This window comes from Homo sapiens, chromosome 2, assembly GCF_000001405.40.
Source record: "Homo sapiens chromosome 2, GRCh38.p14 Primary Assembly".
Lineage (NCBI taxonomy): Eukaryota > Metazoa > Chordata > Mammalia > Primates > Hominidae > Homo > Homo sapiens.
Genome location: NC_000002.12, coordinates 76,136,351 through 76,156,493, shown reverse-complemented (window position 1 = coordinate 76,156,493; position 20,143 = coordinate 76,136,351).

The following is a 20,143-nucleotide window of genomic DNA, read 5'->3' as shown; positions in this document are numbered from 1 at the left end:
GACATATAGATCTGGTGGCCAAATACCTCACTTTACAAATTACTGAAGTGCCAATTGTCTGGAAAAGAGATATTTAACTGGATTTCTATCTACACCCTATTCCAGAGGTTGGTAAATTATCTCAGCTTACACCAGTTGTCACAATGGTTCCGCCCAAAAAAGTCTCAATTGAAATTATAAATTATATAGCCACTCCACATTTAGAGGTTCAACATTTAGAAAACAAAGAACGAGTAACTTAATATGCGATGAAATTCTGTACAAGGCAATTCTGAGTTCTAGGCTATGATTCCTCCACATAAAGAAAAAGACAACCTTTTTTTTTTCAACAGGTCTGAGAAGACATCATGGGTGATAATATTGTCTTCCAAATAAGCTTCAGTTTTGTCTGACAATTTGGGAATATTTTCATTTATCCTATAATAGTCATGACTTTCCTAAAATCGTCATCATTTAATAGAACAGATCATTTTACTTTTTCTGTAAAGTTCCAGACAGTAAATATTTCAGAGCGTGCAGGCTTTATCATCTTTGCCACAACTACTCAATTCTGTCATTATAGCAGAAAAGCAGCCATAGACAGTATGGAAATAAATGAATGTGATGATTTCAAGTAAAGCTTTATTTCTAAAAATAAACAGTGAGCCAGATTTGGCATCTGGGCCACAGTTTGTCAGCCCCTGGAATAGAGAGTAAACAGTAATCCAGTTAAATATCTTTCCCCCATACAACTGATGCTTCAGTAATTCATCAAGTGAGGATACGAAAAATAATTCCCTCCATGTGAAGTGTTGTCAAGTCTTCTGCTGAGTTATAATTAAGATGACTTATTAACAGCAGATTCAAAAGGACCTATTGTCCTAGGTATTCCAAATTCGTATTATAGACATTCAAATGAATTGCTGCCTGCATGTATTTTGTCTTGAGCATGGAAAACCTTGACATAACAATCCAACCAGGGCTCTAATCAACCTAATTAAGCAATAACAGCATGGAAACAAGCACACCCTTAGTTAAATTAATATTTCTTTTATAAGAAGTCATGAAAAGAATATGAACAACAGCATCTGAACCATGAAAAATACATTTATTTAATTGCTGAGTAGGAGAGAGTCACCGGGACCTTCCACAAAGTAAAATCTTTTCTATTTAAAAACTAGCTGTGGAACACACCCACTCACAAGTAAGCATCCTGAATGCTTTCCAGAGGCATGCATGTCTGAACAGGGTCACACAGATCTATAAAAGCCATGGCTATAAAAATTAGTGATTTTTCTAAGGAGACAATGTGTCAGCAGAGCTCCAGTGTTTGAAAGACAATTACAAGTTCATAGTCATGAAATCTGGATGCAAATTCTGACTAGCCCCATTCATATGGCTTCGTTTTGAAAAGGTCACTTCACTCTCTGAGTCTTATGTTTCCTGTATGCAAAATGAGCGTTTTGAATTAGATAACATGCCAAGCTTCACCCTACACAGAAGCCACTACAGCAGAGAAACAGGGGGCCTAGTTTCAATCCTTGTTCCACCAGCTTAGTGACCATCAACAAGTCACTTAATTTCTCAAAGCTTTTAAAGTGGACCTAAAAATAATGGTGACTCTTCTGTAGGAATACTGTAGGTAATAATAAGCTAATGTGCAAAAAACTCTTAGTTTTATATGCCTGGTATAAAGTAAATATTAATTGCTTTTGATATTTGGTAGACAGATATTCCAGTAATGAGGTTGAAAGTAACTACTCTTTAACCTCTGCAAAACCAAAAGCTGGATACATAAAACTAGGGCCCAGTATAACAGTTCCTTAAAAAGATGATAGATAGGCTGGGCGCAGTGACTCACGCCTGTAATCCCAGCACTTTGGGAGGCCGAGGCGGGCGGATCACGAGGTCAGGAGATCGAGACCATCCTGGCTAACACGGTGAAACCCCATCTCTACTAAAAATACGAAAAATTAGCTGGGCGTGGTGGCTGGTGCCTGTAGTCCCAGCCACTTGGGAGCTTGAGGCAGGAGAATGGCATGAATCCGGGAGATGGAGCTTGCAGTGAGCCGAGATCAAGCCACTGCACTCCAGCCTGGGCAATAGAGCGAGACTCCATCTCCAAAAAAAAAGATAGATAAATATAAACTATAGACTATACTAGAGATGATTAATAGATAAGCAGAAAGATGGTAGATACATAGATAGCAACATGCGTTCCTCTCTTCTTTGTGGGTCTATGAATAAAATGTGTCAAATAACATTTAATTTAAAAATTCTTCCAGAAGGATAATGAGAAATTTCTAAAAAAAAAAAAAAAAAAAATCCACCCGACCTAATAGTGCGAAAGGAACCTGGTTGGATAGTCTCTTCTCATTTATCTTAAAGACAGTTGAATTTCCTAAAGAAGAAATTTGTTTAAAAATGAAACAAATAAAATATAAAAAATTACAAAATAAGGACAAGAGTCTTCAGATCAAACAGCTTAATGAGTATCAATGCCATAATGGAGAAGTTTGCAGCAGCCAAGGGCAACAGGAAGAGAGACAAAGAAGACAGGCCAAGCCTGAAGAAAGGCAACCTGTGGACAGCTCATACTAAGGAATGACTTGTATCAACCAGGAAGAAACACCATGGTCCACTTGACAAAAGTGGCCTAAAACAAAGGGCCAGATGGTAAATATTTTAGCCTCTATGCACCATATGACCTCTGGTGCAAATACTCTCATATTTTTAGTGTGGAAGCAATCATTAATAGTAAATAAACTAATGGGTATGGCCGTTTTCCAATAAAACTTTATTTACAAATCAGACAGAAGCCACATTTAGCCCCTTGGCTATAATTTGCAGCCCCTACTTTGTATCATATCTCAGTTCTTTGCTTTTATTAATTTCTTAGTAGGTTGGAAAATAGTTTTCAGTAATAGATTCAGGAAGGACATGCGGATGCTACTACTTGAGTCTTTGCCTACCTGAGAATATATTTCTGTGACCTTCACACAAAGATCATAGCTTGGTTAAACATAGAATTATTAGAAGTCAGTTGGATTCTGCCATGCTGTTCCACTGTCTCTTCTAGAGTACTGAATGCCTACAGTTTCCTTCTTTTGAATTGTCTCAAGTCCAGATGATTTCCCACATTACATTTTAACTAGCACATAGTTTTTTAGCAAATGATTTTTCAAAGATGTTTCTTTTAAAAGTTACTGATTTTTTTTAAAATGTAGGAAAAAGTAATCAATACAAGACTGGAGAATCTTCAGCGGCATAACCCCAATGGGCATGCAGCAGATGGATAATCAGTGTACCCCTCCATTTTCTTTGCTTTTCTTACATCGTTTAAGATAGATGCATGGAGAGAGAATGAGAAAGAAGAAAGACTGAAGAGATTTTAGGTACTTTTATTCCTCTGATAGTTTTACATTAGATATATCATCTTCTGGAATCTGAAAATTTGAAAAAGAAATTCTCTAGAGTCTTGTGCTTTTCTTATAACCAGCCTATCTCACCTGAGGGCACTTCACAAATCAGTCACCTATTTAAATGAGTGAATGATTTCACAATCTGGTGCTTTTCCTCTGTTGGCTCAAATGACAGAGAACATTCTGATGGATTCTGATAGAAAATAGTCCCCTGAACACCACAATGAGAAGTTTTTATATTTTGTGTGGTGTATTTTGCGAGATTAAAATCCAGTTATTTGTGAGTGGCTGAAAACTTCAGTCGTAATACAGGGACATATCAAGGAGTTTCCCTGCTCTACTGAAATGTATGTGCTAATTTTGTAGCAATCCAAAGGCAACTGGAGCTTTACCTCTGCCTGGCTGGCAGTGTTACCCTTATTAGGAGTCCATTGTGAAATACTCCCTCACGACGAGCACTTTTCCACCAAATGTAGCCGGGAATTTGAACTACAATTTCACATTCTATGTGTTAGTATACATTCCACTTCAGACCTTGATTGTGTTTTGGGGTGGTGAAGAGACCATTGGTACTCTGGGTCCAATTTCTCACTTTATGCAAGAGGTAGCATGAAATTGATCCTTTTCTCAGGTTATCTTATCTGCAACAGAACATGTATATTTCCCTTTTTTGTATTAATTAGGAATCTCCTTTAATTAGTTTATTTTTTCCATAGGTTATTTCATAATAATTATGACTCAATTTTATGGACACAGAAAATTATTTATAATGGAAGATTAAGCCTTGTGATGACATTAGATCCCTTCCACCATGGAGGGAACAGTAATTTGTCCTGTGGGATACTGATTTGCCTTTCCTGTTGGCAATGTTTCTGCCAAAACTACCACCTATGAGCTGATACAAAATTATCTTCACCTCTTACAATTCTAACAACATTGCCTCCAAACAACAACAAAAAAACACTTATTTTATAATGAAAGAGGAGGTGTATCAGGCTTACCCCTCACAGATGGTATTGGTTTTAGTGCATATTGCATCACCCAAAAATAATTGGCCTTATAGAAGAGTGGATTGGCTCACTGAAGGCCAATTTCTATATCAATAATCGATAGCTGCCGAACAAGTCACTCACAAAATTTTAATTAAAACAATTAATTTTCTCATAATTCAGTACGTTGGATAGGCAGTTCTAATCATTTTGCTTGGGCTCCTCATTTGACTGCAGTAGCTGAATGTTATGTTTAGGGCAGATGGTCCAATTTGACACCTTGCTAGTGTCTGGGGTCTCACCTGGGATTGATGGAATGGTTGGGAAGACTAGGCTTCTGTCTCATTCCAGCCTGTTTTACACAATGGCAGAAACATTCTGAGAGCAAGGCATGAAGGACAAGCAGTGGTCAAGACTCTTCTTGTGTCAATGCTACACATTGACAAAGTAGTCAGATGGCTAAACCCATACCCAATACAAGAAAGGGGGCATTAATATAATAATCTACCACAATTTACCACACTGATCTTTTTGAGATTTTTCCATGCCAAATTCTGTTAAACATGCATATCAGGTGGTAGTTCCTTTTAAGTGGTTGAACAGATGCCCCCCAAATAGGATAGGGAGATGAGGCAAAATGTGCCATGTTGAATGCTGGTTTTGTTTCCCAGTGAAAAATCACCTTTCAAATGTGGTGTATAATAGATAACCTAATCTTTGCAGTACTCTGAAATTGGATGTCAGGTCTTATTGATAGACTTACTAGTGAGAGTTTATGGTAAATTGGTAATTTATAGTTTTTTGAAGTTCCTGAAATTTTAAAAATAATCTTACAGATTCATTTGAATAATGTAAATTTGTTATCTTTATTTTGAAGATATTTTAAAGTGATTTTATAAATTTCTTGTATTTACTGCATGATAGACACATAGAAATGCTACCTGAAAAGTTATCAGGGATTTAACATGAATTTTCAAAGTGAATCCTTAGAACAAGATGAAAATTATTGCTACAAGTGCTTTTTGATAAATGTAATCAATTATCCTGATAATAATTATAGATATAATTCACCATTTATTACCTGTCACCACTGAGCAAATAGCAAAGAAGGAATTAACCTTTGAGCAGAATTAAATGAACATGAAAAAGCTCAATGCTATAGGAGTGAAAATATTTATACAAATGCTAATTGAGCATTTGGCATTTAAGTTACATGGCATAAAATACTGTTTTTCAGGCAAGGAGGAAAAAGTACCAATAAAACCATCCTTACAATCTTTATGTAGGCTAAACATTAAAGGGTTTGACTTTGTAAAAGATTTTTTATTTTTTAATAAGGCTAGGGCTATGAATAAAGTTTATGTCTCAGGACCTGCGTTTATATGTGGCTATAGTTTAAAACTAATTTCATAATAATGGCTGTCAAAGAAACTCAATAGTATGTTCAGCCAAAATAATCAAATTTTTGCTTTTGAGGTATGTTTCAGTAATACCAAAACAACTCTGATTTATTTTTTGAAAATGCCAATCTGATCCTATTAAATTAAAAAAAGTTAAAAATATTTTTTCTAGCCATTTCTATTGGCATTCTACAGAAACACTTAAAGTGAAAATGGTGTTAATGGGACTGACTGATTGGAAATATATAAACAAAATGTAAAAGCCCATATGTAAGCAAAGTAATGTTATTTCATTTTCCTAAATTCGCTTGATATAGGTAATTGGCTTTATAAGAAATATGTTAAGATAGAAGTCAACATTGAAGTCAAAACTGCCGTTTTTACCTATGACAGTTATAGAAAAAGAATATTGGATAAATGCACCAGTGAGCTGTAAATAAATGTCACATGGAAAATGAATAGATCCCATTTTTTGAGGGCTGACCACATACTCAGAACTCTGTGTAGTGCACCATAGACATCATCTCATTTGATCCTCAAATCTATTTTGGACAATGGTTAAAACTACTGCAGAGTTGAGAAACTAAAATCCACAGAAGTTAGGTTGGTTTCTCATGGTCACTGGAAGTAAGAAGCAGAATTCAGACATGGAGCTGGCTGCCTCCCAAACCTTTCTTCACTATGAGAATGTCAGATACCAAATTAGGAAATGAGATTGGATTGGAAGCCTGGAACCAGATTATGGATAGCCTTGAATTCAGGCCAGTGAATTCTTTTTTATTCTGACACAAATTGAAAATTGTTAGAAATGTTGAAGAATGTGATAAATATGAGGTCTTAGGAATATTATCTTAAGAGTGTTGTACAGAATGCAATGGAAGGTAAACAAGGAGCAAAGAGGCCAATTCAACACTGGCCGTTCTCCAGGAGTAAGTTGATTCCTAGACTAGAATTGTACCTCCAGAATTTGGAATATTGTTACAGAGGTAGGTACATTACAAAGAAAAACAGAGAGAAGAATTTGGAAGGCACAGGTGTGTGCTGCAGTTCTACATGTCTCCCAGGTTTCAAGCCACAGTGTAGAGGCTATAAAACAGCAGTCAGAATCTCATTCCCTGTCTTTGGTTTTCCACAGCCCCACATGCCGGTAGGTAGGCTCACCCTTACCCAAGTTGTAGACTTATCTATACGGTGGAGCAGGAGATGCATATACATCTGCAGACCACTGTCTGGTAGAGCTGAGTATTTCAGGTCTTAGAGCCCACACTTCCCCCAAAGTCCTATTTTTTTTTCCAATCAGGACTAGAATGGGGTGCTTTGCTGGCAAGCACTATAAATCCATGGTAACTAAGTGGAGGTCTGAGTGGACTTCCACTTAGTTTTCTCTAATCCTTTCTTCTTCCTGTGAGTCCTTCCTATGGATGAAATTTTAATCCTAAAAATGTTACCATTGTACTGATAACTTACTTCATGAGAATCACTGGTCTTATCAATTTTGGCATACCAGCCACAGGGTCTTCTTGCTCCTAGGCTCCACTTACACTTTGGGGATCCCCATTTGGAGGCTCAGTTCCAATATCTAAACCTGTTTTGACTCTTGGACTTGGGGCTTCCCAAACAAATTACTTACTCAATTGCTTACTCAAATTCAGAGGGCTTAGATTAGGTCCTAAAATAGTATCTCTTTTTCCTGCCCTTATATACTTCATGACATGGCTCAGAGTGGTACCATATAATCATATAATTTATGAGTCATTGTTGAAGGTATTGGATTTTAGGTGTAGGTGAGTTAAAAACATCAAGCAGTCCTTTTGGAAGATGGAGATGAAGAATCTGAACTCTGCAAGAAGTAAAACCTGTAAGTTCAGACCTGAGAGTCATGCTCATCTGAAGTTAGGTCACAGAAATTGTTGGCTAAAATAAAGCACTAGAAAAAAGAGACAGAAGGGAACAATTAAACTTATATGAAAACCTCCAAAGGTGTAAAATTAATTCATTATAAAACAGATAATATGAGTTGACATAAAATTAAAATTGGACTCTGTCATGGAAATTGTGGTGCATGCAAGTTTTATAATTTTTTAAATTGATTTAAATATCAATAGGAACTGAAGAGACGAAGGAGAAAAGGGGCTGGTAAAGGCCAGTAACCTTCAGGAGTGGAGTCAACATAGAATAGTGGAAGAATAGATTATAAAAACTTAATAAAGGAACACATGAAAAGAACATGAAAGCAGAAGATATAGAAAAATCATAAAAATTAGAAAACTGGGAAGAACAATCTGGAGAAACTTCAGAGGAGAAGATTTTACCTACTTTTAGGTAAAATAAAGTTTTGGTTTTCAAGTAAGAGCATCTGTAGTAGTCTTGCCTCAAGAGAGAAAGTGTAGAAGATGCCTCCGCTGAATTTTTTACTTTCTTGAGTCATGTGCAAATACTGAATGTTAATTACATGCAATTAAGAGGGTGAATACATGATTCTCTGGTTGTAGATTCATCAAGCTATTGACTTTTTTTCTTGCTAGTTATCCAGTAGTTTCTCCATGTGAAATCACTTTTCTGTTTGGGTTTGTTTTATATGAGCATCTGGCCTCGAATAATTGTATGGTTTCTTTTTCTACTGATCTGGTATGGACTACATAAGAGCCACAAATATTTCTTTTACCACTCTTTCTGAACAGTTTTGAGATATAGTTCACATATTATACAGTTTACTCATTTATAACGTATAATTTAATGCTTCCTCTTATATCCAGAGTTGCAACAAAAGCAGTTTTAGAATTATTTTTATTAGCCTGAAAAGAAACTCCACCTCATTTGAAGGTGACCCTCTAATCTTCTTCTCTCTCCTCACTCCCAGATCTAGGTGGCCACCAATATGCTTTCTATCTCTATTGATTTTCCTACTCTGGGCTTTTAATATAAATTGAATCATACAATATATGATCCCTTGAGATTGGTTCCTTCCATTTAGCATAGTGTTCACAAGATTCATCAATGTTGTAACATGTATCAGCACATTTCTTCTTATTGGCAAAAAATAGCACATCATATGGATGTAACATATTTGTTTTACCTATTTATCAATGGAAGGACATTTGTATTGCTTCCATGTTTTTACTATCATAAATAATGACACTATAAACATTCACATGCAATTTTTGTGTGGATATATGTGTTTATTACTCTTAGGTATATATTTGGAGGGGAATTACTGTATCTTATGTCACTGCATAAACATTTGAGGAACAGCTAGACTGCTTTCTAAAGCATAGTAGAATAGAATATTAAAAATTAGTTAAGGAACGCATGAAGAAAAAAATGGAAGCAGAAGATGTAGAACATTAATGAAAACTAGAAAAAATGAGAAAAAACAATTTGGAGCAAGAATAGAGAGGAGAACTGGATAAAATGAAGTTTTGGTTTTCAAGTAAGAGTGCACTCACTCTTAAAGTTTTGGTGGCTGCACTATTTTGCATTCCCACCATCAGTGTATAAGAATTCCAACTACTCTACATACTGTCAATACTTGTTTTTATCTGTCTTTTTTGTTATCACCATCCTCGTTGATGTGAAGTGATATATCATTATGGTTTTGATTTGAATTATTTAGATGAGTAATGATGTTGAATATCTTTTCACATGTTTATTAGCCATTTGTATATCTTTAGAGACTGTCTATTCAGATCCTTTGCCCATTTTTCACTTGGTTTATCTTCTTACTAATGAGTTATAGAGTTATTGAATTTTTTATATATTCTTGATACAAGGCCCTTACCAGATACATTATTTGCAAATATCTTCCTATGTTGTGAGTTGTCTTTTCACTTTCTTGAGGGTGCCATTTAAAGCTCAAAAGTTTTAAATTTTGATGATTTCCAGTTTTTCTATTTTTTCTTTTGTTGCTTGTGCTGTAGGTGTCATATCTGAGAAAACTTTGCCTAATCCAATGTCATGCAGATTTACGTCTATGTTTTCTTATAAGAGGTTTACAGTTTTAGCTCTTACATTTACTTATTTTATCCATTTGGAGTTCATTTTTGTATGTGGAATATGGCAGAGACACAATTCATTCTTTTGCATGTGGATATCTAGTTGTCCCAGCATCATTCATTGAAAATACATTTCCCTATTGATGGATTTTGGTGTCTTTGTTAAAGATCAACATACTGTAATCTATAGGTGACTGCTATAATTGTGAGGGTTTGATTTTAGACTCTCAATTTTATTCCACTGATCTATCCATCTAGCTTTATGCCAGTGCCACACCATTTTGTTTACTGTAGTTTTGTGAAAAGTTTTGAAATCAGGAAGTGAGTCTTTCAACTTTGTTCTTATTTATCAAGATTGTTCTGGCTATTCTGGCTCCCTTGAATTTCCATTTGAATTTTGAAATCAAATTGTCACTTTCTACAAAGAATTCAGCTTGGATTTGATAGGGGGCCAGTTCCTAAGGCTGAAAAGTAGACCATTTTTAAACTTCCAATGTACTTATTCAAAAGATTGGCCATGTTAGAAACTTTTCTTCAGTAAGTACAGTATGTGAGTCCAGTCCAGGACCTGAGTAAATTAAACTAGTGGTTTATTTAGCCACACTGTACCTTGTTCAGTTATCTTGACAATTTTCCTACTTTATATTATATCATTACTTAACAAAATTTCCAAAGAGCAATTGTAACAACATATCCCTAATCATGTCAGAAGTGGAAAAGTCATCACAGCTGAAATACCAGTTTTAAACATCATGCTGACTGCAAGCTATTTCCTATTATTAGCACTTCCTTGCTCATTACCCTCATTGCTATAAAGCTTTGACCTCAAAATCTCAAAGTGTCCATTTCCTTCCTTAATGAATGACCTCACTTCATGCATTATGAATTAAATAACATAAGCACAGTTTTCACCTTCCTATACCTGTCTCTGTATTATTCTTCTTCATCTCTATTACTGTAATGAAGGTGTTATTCCTCTGAACACAGGAAGAACTTCTGTGTTCTGCCTCCCTTCTCCATTTGCCTTCTAAAGATTTAAATTCTCAGTCACCGTTTTTTCTCTCATCTGTCTTCTTTTGTCTCTCTTCCACATAATCATTTCCAAGGACACACAAACATACTCCAATTTCTTCCTGCCATATTTAAAAATATACCCCCCTTTGATACCACTTTGTCTTCCAGCTACCATTCCATGTCCCTACTTTATTTTCTACCCAAATTCCTAAGAGGATCTGCTGCATACTTCCTTATTTCTGCTCCACTCTATTATGACTTCTCTTTCCATTACACTGACATTACTCTGAATAAAGATTAGTGAACATGCAGCTGAAAAATTCAATAGCCACACTTCTTTCTTCATCTTGTTTGATATATTGAAAGTATTCCATACAATCAACTACTTTTTTTTTTTGAAATGCTCTTTCCTTTTAGTTTCTAGAAGAACCTCTACTCAAGCTTCATCTACCTCACTTGCTGCTTCTGTGAAGTCTCTTATGCTATTGCTTCTCTTCTATTATGCCTCTAAATGTTGTCATGTTTTTAGAGCTCACTCTTTTCCCTCTTTTCTCTTTATATTCTCTCCTTGAGTGAACCCATTTATCTCAATGGATGTACATTCCACACTGGTGCTGTTTCTCAAGAATATCTGTATTATTCTCAACTGCAGCTTCCTTTGAGAAATATAATGCATTGAATACTTTCCTAGCTTTGAACCTTAATGCCATAATTTTTAGCTGGGAGAATTTTTTCATATTGACCAACTATTCAGTGCCTCACTTTCCCCAATGATAAAATGGTAATAATAGAATTACCTCATAAGAGTACTATGAAAATTAAATGAGTGAAGTTATGAGAACCATACTGTTGGATAGAAAGCTGCCAAAAGAAACTAGCTATTGGCCAGGTGCTGTAGCTCATGCCTGTAATTCCATCACTTTTGAAGACTGAAGTGAGCAGATCCCTTGAACTCAGGAGTTCAAGACCAGCCTGGGCAACATGGCACAATCCTGACTCTTCAAAAAATACAAAAAATTAGCTGCATGTGGTGGCATGCACCTGTATTCTCAGCTACCCAGGAGGCTGAGATTGGAGGATTACCTAAGGCTAGGAGGTTGAGGCTGCAGTGAGCTGTGATAGTGCCACTGCACTCCAGCCTGGGTGACAGAGTGAGATCATGTCTCAAAAGAAATAAATAAGAAGGTAGTTATTATTATAGCTTTTTATTATTATATTATAGCCTTATTATCATTATTATTGTCACTCAATATAAACATACTTTAGCAGAGGAAATGTGAAATTCCAATACTGAGGTAATATTAGAGACAGAAGCTAAGGCAGTAAAGTGGGGAGGAATAGATGAGACTTTCTGAAAGACAGGCTACCAGAGATGTTGCTGAGCTACTGGAGTTTCTGTTGAGAAAGGTGATGAAGGTCACTCCAGCTCTCCAGGCTTCCCAGCTGCTGAAAGGGTCTTCTGGGCTTCTTTGCCTTCATAGATTTATATAGCCCCCTCACCTTAGATAACCTGAGTATGTCTCTTCCTTGCAATCTAAAAGAGCCTAACATTGCCCAGCTTTTTCAATAATTGTTAAATTATTTAGAGTACATTCCCAGGAGTATAATGACTGGGTCAAAAAGAATAAGCTTTTTTATGTTTCCGGACTGAATATTTATGTATATTTTCTATAAGTACTGAACCAATTCACATTGCTGCCAGCAAAGTGTATGTATCTGCAACCTTACCCACATTGGGTATCAGCAAAGATAAAATATTTATTATATGTTAATTTTGCCTGATAAGGAAGCTATAAACTATATTCTCTATTGAGGTTAACAGTGGCAGAGCAAAAGGGAAGTACCCTATCTCAGCCCTTAGGGTTGTCCTGCCAGAACCCTTTGTAGAGATTTTGATACCCTTTCATACAAATGATTTAGAAAATCAATTTAATGCAAAAGTCCTGAGTTTTAACAGTGTGAATAAACATGCATGGTAAAACGAGTAAGTGTGCTAATATTTACTGGATAATTTACATATGTGTGTGACAACCTTTTGCTGAATTTACAAACTTACCCTGAAATGATACAAAGGGTTTTATTTTATATATGGTTTTATTAATAGAACTGAGTTACTAATGTTTTAGTAGAAAGAATATATTCTTAACTTCAGACAGACTTCAAGTGAAGCTTCATTATTTTCCTGTAGTTTGACTTTGAACAGTTTTCTAACATTAAAAGTAGAATAATAACGGCTATTTCTACAATGTAATGCGGCAATTAAATAAAATAATATATATGCAAGCGTTTGATACATTCTTGTTCACTGATGGTTTTAGAGATTTTCTGCCTTGGTGAACTACCTCTTTTCAAAAATCGCTGTTAGTCATTTGCTCATATGCATATCCTGGCTTTGTCTCCAGGTAGGTGAGAAAATAAGGAACATAAACTTTACTTATTTCAAGTTGGCAAAGTAAAACACTACTGTCCTTATATTTACATATAGAGGGTTGTCAGCTATACAATTTGTCAGCAAACTTCCTGTGATCCAGTATCTTAGGTTAAATGTATTTATTCAACTGAAACAGATTTATAGACCATGAAAAATCCATCAATGATAATTTTTTTAGACAGAGGAAAATGCCAACGTGGGTGTCTTGGCAATAGTACTTTCAAAACAGCCTAAGTGAAAAATAAGAAAAGTGACTAGAAAATAATTAAATATGTCTTTCTCCCTCACTCCATTCAATACATTCCAATCCATTGCAGATCGTATTGACTTCAAAACATTTTTCCTGCCTTTTCAAGCCTAATGGTCTCCTTCTCCTTTGAACATTCCCATTCTTATTATATGTATCATTCATGAAGTTTTGATGAAAAACTAATTTGGACCAGTTTTCTAAATCTATGCTTCATTTCTCCAAATTATGTTGCCTGGAGGAGAGGAATCACTCATTTTCATATTTTGAACTCCCTGCAGCAACTACCATAGTGACCTATGTTCATAGTAAGAACGCAAGTTTTATTGATCACTATGATTACAACTCAAACCGAACATTTCATGAATATTTCTTACAACTGGACAATGCTATTTCTATAATTAGTTTTAATTGTTAAACTTGGAGTCCAAGCAAAGATGAATATTGAAGAAATAGTAATCATGGGTTATTCATATAGGCAATATAATACAGGTATTAAAAATTAGGTTTCTAAAATGTGTAATGACATGAGAAAGGCTTGCAACATAATGCTGAAATAGACAAATACATCAAAACTTATATTCATTATGCACCCCAATTAGTTTCAGGAAAAATACATAAAAATAAGTTAAGGACTTCTAATTCAGGCTATGACAAACTAGCTTATAGCAGAACTTCCCACCAAAATAAACAAAAATCTGGTGTAAAAAAAAAAATCTATGTGAAGGCATTGGACAGCTACCACAGCAGCCAAGATTTGAGGATCCAAGATGCTGAGGAGGAAAGAAAAAACACTTTGATGTGAGCCTGACCTTTCATGATGCTTTTTACTTCAAAGTCTTTGCTTATTCTTAAGAATAGCAGGGTCAAGTATTCATAGTGCTGAGCCAAAAGCAGCAGTTAAAAGACAAAAAGGCACACCAAAATTCATCAGTTGTTCACATCTGGAAAGACAAATAGAGCCCAGAGTTACCACAATAGCCAGACTGAGAGGGTCAACATCTGAGAAAGAAGAAAGTAGAGCGAAAATATAACATTTTGTACCATTTTACAGCTTCGAGGTATTTGCTGAATTGTAAGCTACGCAAGTGCCCAAAATTAAATCAACAGAAAGTAGCAACTACCAAGTTAAAAATAAAAGAAAAGCTTCGGGAAGAGTCACAGTGATGTTGTGACAAAAACTGGAGTTCACCAGCACTTTGAGAGGCTGACGGGGGTGGATCACCTGGGGTCCAGAGTTCCTGAGCAGCCTGGCCAACATGTTGAAACCATGTCTCTACAAAAAATACAAAAATTAGCTGGGTGTGGTGGTGCCTACCTGTAGTCCCAGCTACTCTGGAGGCTGAGACAGGAGAATTGCTTGAGCCTGGGAGGTGGAGACTGCAGTGAGCTGAGATCACGCCACTGCACTTCAGCCTGGGGGACAAAGGGAGGCTCAGTCTTGGGGAGAGAGAGAAAAGAAAATGGAGACCATGTTTGCCAATGAGGAGGAAAACTTGTTAAAACCCCAAGATCTCAGTTGAAACTGCAAAAGCATAAACCAGTTTGAAAGAGTTCAGTCCTAGAAAGGATGAAAGTGATCTATCCTTACTTCCTAAACTGACCACCAAAACCAAAAATAAGTCAGCTTTGGAGGAGATATCCGCTGCATTCACAAAAGTTTGTTACAACGAAGTCCAACATTGAATTAAACACAAAAACACACACAGGAAATCCAAGATAAAAGGAGAGAAAAAGATAACAGAAACAGACCAACAAGATATCCAGATATAAGAATTGTTAGGCTCAGAACTTTTGATTATCACCTCCAAAGTATAGTATCTATTTTTGATTACTTTTGTTCAAAAATATAGAAGAGAAAAATGGAGAATTTCTTCCATAGAAATGGAATCAAGGAAACATTTATATAAAAATTTTACAGAAATAAAACCCTCAAGTTAAAACTTAATAATTATATTTAACCACAAGTAAGAGAAAGCAGAGAGAATTAGGAAACTGGGATCCAGGTAAGAAGAAATTGTGTAAGCTGAAGAATGGATACAAAAAATGATAGGTAATATATTTAAAAATAAGAGATATGGGAGGTATAGACAACTCTAACATATGTGTAATTAGAGTTCCAGAAGGGAAGAAGAGAGAAAAGAGGAGAAAAATATTACTTTCAAAACTTTGAAGTTTATATGCAAATGTACACTTTCGCCAACAAGTTAGTAGAGTTCTAATTGCTTCACACCCTTGTCAACACTTTGTATTTGTCAGTGTTTTCCATTTTACCCATTCTGGTGGACATATAATGGTATCTTATTCTGGCTTAAATTTGCATACGTAATACTGTTGAACATAATTTGATATAATTTAACACCACTCCTGTCAAGAACTTCCCTAACATTATAAAATAATCTCAAAGCAATAGCTTACATTATAATTAATGATTAAAAATCGCTAGAAAACGCGTGAAAACCAGCTCTGGAAAATGCTGACATTTATAGGTCCAATAGAGGAGAAACTAAAGCAAAAGAGATTTCACAAAACAGCATGTGAGGTAGAAGGAACTTGAGGGAGGGTTAGGGATTCTAGCATCTAAAAGAAAAGAGCATTTCAAGAAGCAGAAAATGGTGAACTGTTTTGAATGCTTCTGAGAGTTCAAATAAAATGAAGAAGGAAGAATGATCACTGGATTTTTCAACAGATGCTCAAGGAATCTAGCATATTAGAGGGAGGGTATGCAGTGTAATGGAGAGAAGTCATACTAGTGTTAAGTGGAGATAACAAAATGAAAATAGTGTGTTCAGGATCTCTACCTAAAAATTAGTCTTAAAAAAAAAGTGGGGCTGTGGCTGGCAAGATGGCCGAATAGGAAGAGCTCTGGTCTGCAGCTCCCAGTGAGATCAACACAGAAGGTGGGTGATTTCCGCATTTCCAACTGAGGTATCTGGCTCATTTCACTGGGACTGATTAGATGGTGAGTGCAGCCCATGGAGGGCAAGCTGAAGCAGGGTAGGGCATTGGTCACCCGGGAAGCGCGAGGGGTTGGGGAACTCCCTCCCCAGCCAAGAGAAGCCATGAGGGATTGTGTTTTGAGGAACAGTGCATTCCCGCCCAGATGCTACACTTTTCCCAGGATGCTTGCAACCCATAGACCAGGAGATTCCCTCAGGTGCCTATACCACCAGGGCCCTGGGTTTCAAGCAAAAAACTGGGTGGCCATTTGGGAAGACACTGAGCTAGCTGCTGTAGGTTTTTTTTGTTGTTGTTTTTCTATACCCCAGTGGCACCTGGAAAGCGAGTTAGAAAGAATCGTTCACTCCCCTGGAAAGGGGTCTGAAGCCAGGGAGCCAAATGGTCTAGCTCAGTGGATCCTACTCCCATGGAGCCCAGCAAGCTAAGATCCACTAGCTTGAAATTCTCACTGCCAGCACAGTAGTCTGAAGTTGACCTGGGACACTCCAGCTGGGTGAGGGGAGGGGCATCCACCATTACTGAGGCTTGAGTAGGCTGTTTTCCCCTCACAGTGTAAACAAACCCTCAGGAAGTTCCAACTGGGCAGAGCCCGCCACAGGTCAGCAAAGCCGCTGTAGCCAGACTGCTTCTCTAGATTCCTCCTCTCTGGGCAGGTCATCTCTGAAAGAAAGGCAGCAGCCCCAGTCAGGGGCTTAGAGATAAAACTCCCATCTCCCTGGGACAGAGCACCTGGGGGAATGGGCGGCTGTGGGTGCAGCTTCAGCAGACTTAAATGTTCCTGCCTGCCGGCTCTGAAGAGAGTGGTGGATCTCCTAGCACAGCACTCGAGCTCTGCTAAAAGACAGACTGCCTCCTCAAGTGGGTCACTGACTTTCATGCCTCCTGACTGGGAGACACCTCCCAGCAGGGGTCGACAGACACCTCATACAGAAGAGCTCCGGCTGGCATCTGGTGGGTGCCCTTCTGGGACACAGCTTCTAGAGGGAGGAACAGGCAGCAATCTTTGCTGTTCTGCAGCCTCCACTGGTGATACCCAAGCACACAGGGTCTGGAGCAGACCTCCAGCAAACTCCAGCAGACCTGCAGCAGAGGAGCCTGACTGTTAGAAAAAAAAAAAACTAAGGAACAGAAAGGAATAGGATCAACATCAACAAAAAGGACATCCAAAAAAAAAAAATTCTTAAGTTCACCAACATCAAAGACCAAAGGTAGATAAATCCACAAAGATAAGGAAAAATCAGCACAAAAAAGCTAAAAATTCCAAAAACCAGAATGCCTCTTCTCCTCCACAGGATAACAACTCCTCACCAGCAGGGAACAAAACTAGATGGAGAATCCGTTTGACGAATTGATGGAAGTAGGCTTCAGAAGTGGGTAATAACAAACTCCTCCGAGCTAAAGGAGCATATTGTAACCCAATGGGAGGAAACTAAGAACCTTGAAAAAAGGTTAGACAAATTGCTAACTAGGATAGCCAGTTTAGAAAAGAACATAAATGACCTGATGGACCTGAAAAACACAGCATGAGAACTTCTTGAAGCACAAAAAATATCAATAGCCAAATCAATCAAGTGGAAGAAAGGATATCAGAGATTGAAGATCAACTTAATGAAATAAAGCGTGAAGACAAGATTAGAGAAAGAAGAATGAAAAGGAATGAACAAAGCCTCCAAGAAATATGGAACTACGTGAAAAGACCAAATCTACATTTGATTGGTATACCTGAAAGTGATGGGGAGAATGGAACTAAGTTGGAAAACACTCTTCAGAATATTATCCAGGAGAACTTCCCCAACCTCACAAGAGAGGCCAACATTCAAATTCAGGAAATACAGAGGACACCAAAAAGATACTCCTTGAGAAGAGCAATCCCAAGACACATAATCGTCAGATTCACCAAGGTTGAAAAGAAGGAAAAAATGTTAAGGGCAGCCAGAGAGAAAGACTGGGTTATCCACAAAGGGAAGCCTATCAGACTAACAGCGGATCTCTCTGCAGAAACTCTGCAAGCCAGAAGAGAGTGGGGGCCAATATTCAACATTCTTAAAGAAAACAATTTTCAACCCAGAATTTCATATCCAGCTAAACTAAGCTTCATAAGCGAAGGAGAAATAAAATCATTTACAGACATGCAAATGTTGAGAGATTTTGTCACCACCAGGCCTGCCTTACAAAAGCTCCCAAAAGAAACACTAAATATGGAAAAGAAAAACCAGTATCACCCACTGCAAAAACATACCAAATTGTAACATAACACATAACAATATTAACCTTAAATGTAAATGGGCTAAATGCCCCATTTAAAAGACACAGACTGGCAAATTGGATAGAGTCAAGACCCGTTGGTGTGCTGTATTAAGGAGATCCATCTCACATGGAAAGACACACATAGGCTCAAAATAAAGGGATGGAGGAATATTTACCAGGAAAATGTAAAGCAAAAAAAAAAGCAGGGTTTACAATCCTAATCTCTGATAAAACAGACTTTAAACCAACAAAGATCTAAAAACACAAAGAAGGGCATTACATAATGGTAAAGGGATCAATGAAACAAGAAGAGCTAATTATCCTGAATACATGTGCACCCAATACAGGAGCACCCAGATTCATAAAGCAAGCTCTTAGAGACCTGCAAAGAGACTTAGACTCCCACACAATAATAGTGGGAAAATTTATCAACCCATTGTCAATATTAGACAGATCAATCAGACAGAAAATTAACAAGGATATTCAGGACTTGAACTCAGCTCTGGACCAAGCAGACCTAATAGACATCTACAGGACTCTCCACACAAAATCAACAGAATATACATTCTTCTCAGCACAGCATTGCCTACCAATCAAAAAAAGTCCAGGACTAGACGGATTCACAGCCAAATTCTACCATAGGCACAAAGAGGAGCTGGTACCATTCCTTCTGAAACTATTCCAAACAATAGAAAAAGAGAGAATCCTCCCTAACTCATTTAATGAGCCCAGCATCATCCTGACACCAAAACCTGGCAGAGACACAACAAAAAGAGAAAATTTCAGGCCAATGTCCCTGCTGAATATCGATGTGAAAATCCTCAACAGAATACTGGCAAACCGAATCCAGCAGCACATCAAAAAGCTTATCTACCATGGTCAAGTCGGCTTCATCCCTGGGATGCAAGGCTGGCTCAACATATGCAAATCAATAAACATAATCCGTCACATAAACAGAACCAATGACAAAAACCATATGATTATTTCCATAGATGCAGAAAAGGCCTTAGATAAAATTCAACACAATATCAAGCTAAAAACTCTCAATGAACTAGGTATTAATGGAATGTACCTCAAAAATAATAAGAGCTATTTATGACAAACCCACAGGCAATATCATAATGAATGGGCAAAGGCTGGAAGCATTCCCTTTGAAAATTGGCACAAGACAAGGATGCCCTCTCTCACCACTCCTTTTCGACATGGTATTGGAAGTTCTGGCCAGGGCAATCAGGCAAGAGAAATAAATAAAGGGTATTCAAATAGGAAGAGAGGAATTCAAACTGTCTCTGTTTGCAGATGACATGATTGCATATTTAGAAAGCCCCATTGTCTCAGCCCAAAATCTCCTTAAGCTGATAAGCGACTTCAGCAAACTCTAAGGATACAAAATTAATGTGCAAGAATTACAAGCATCCCTATACACCAATAACAGACAGAGAGCCAAATCATGAGTGAACT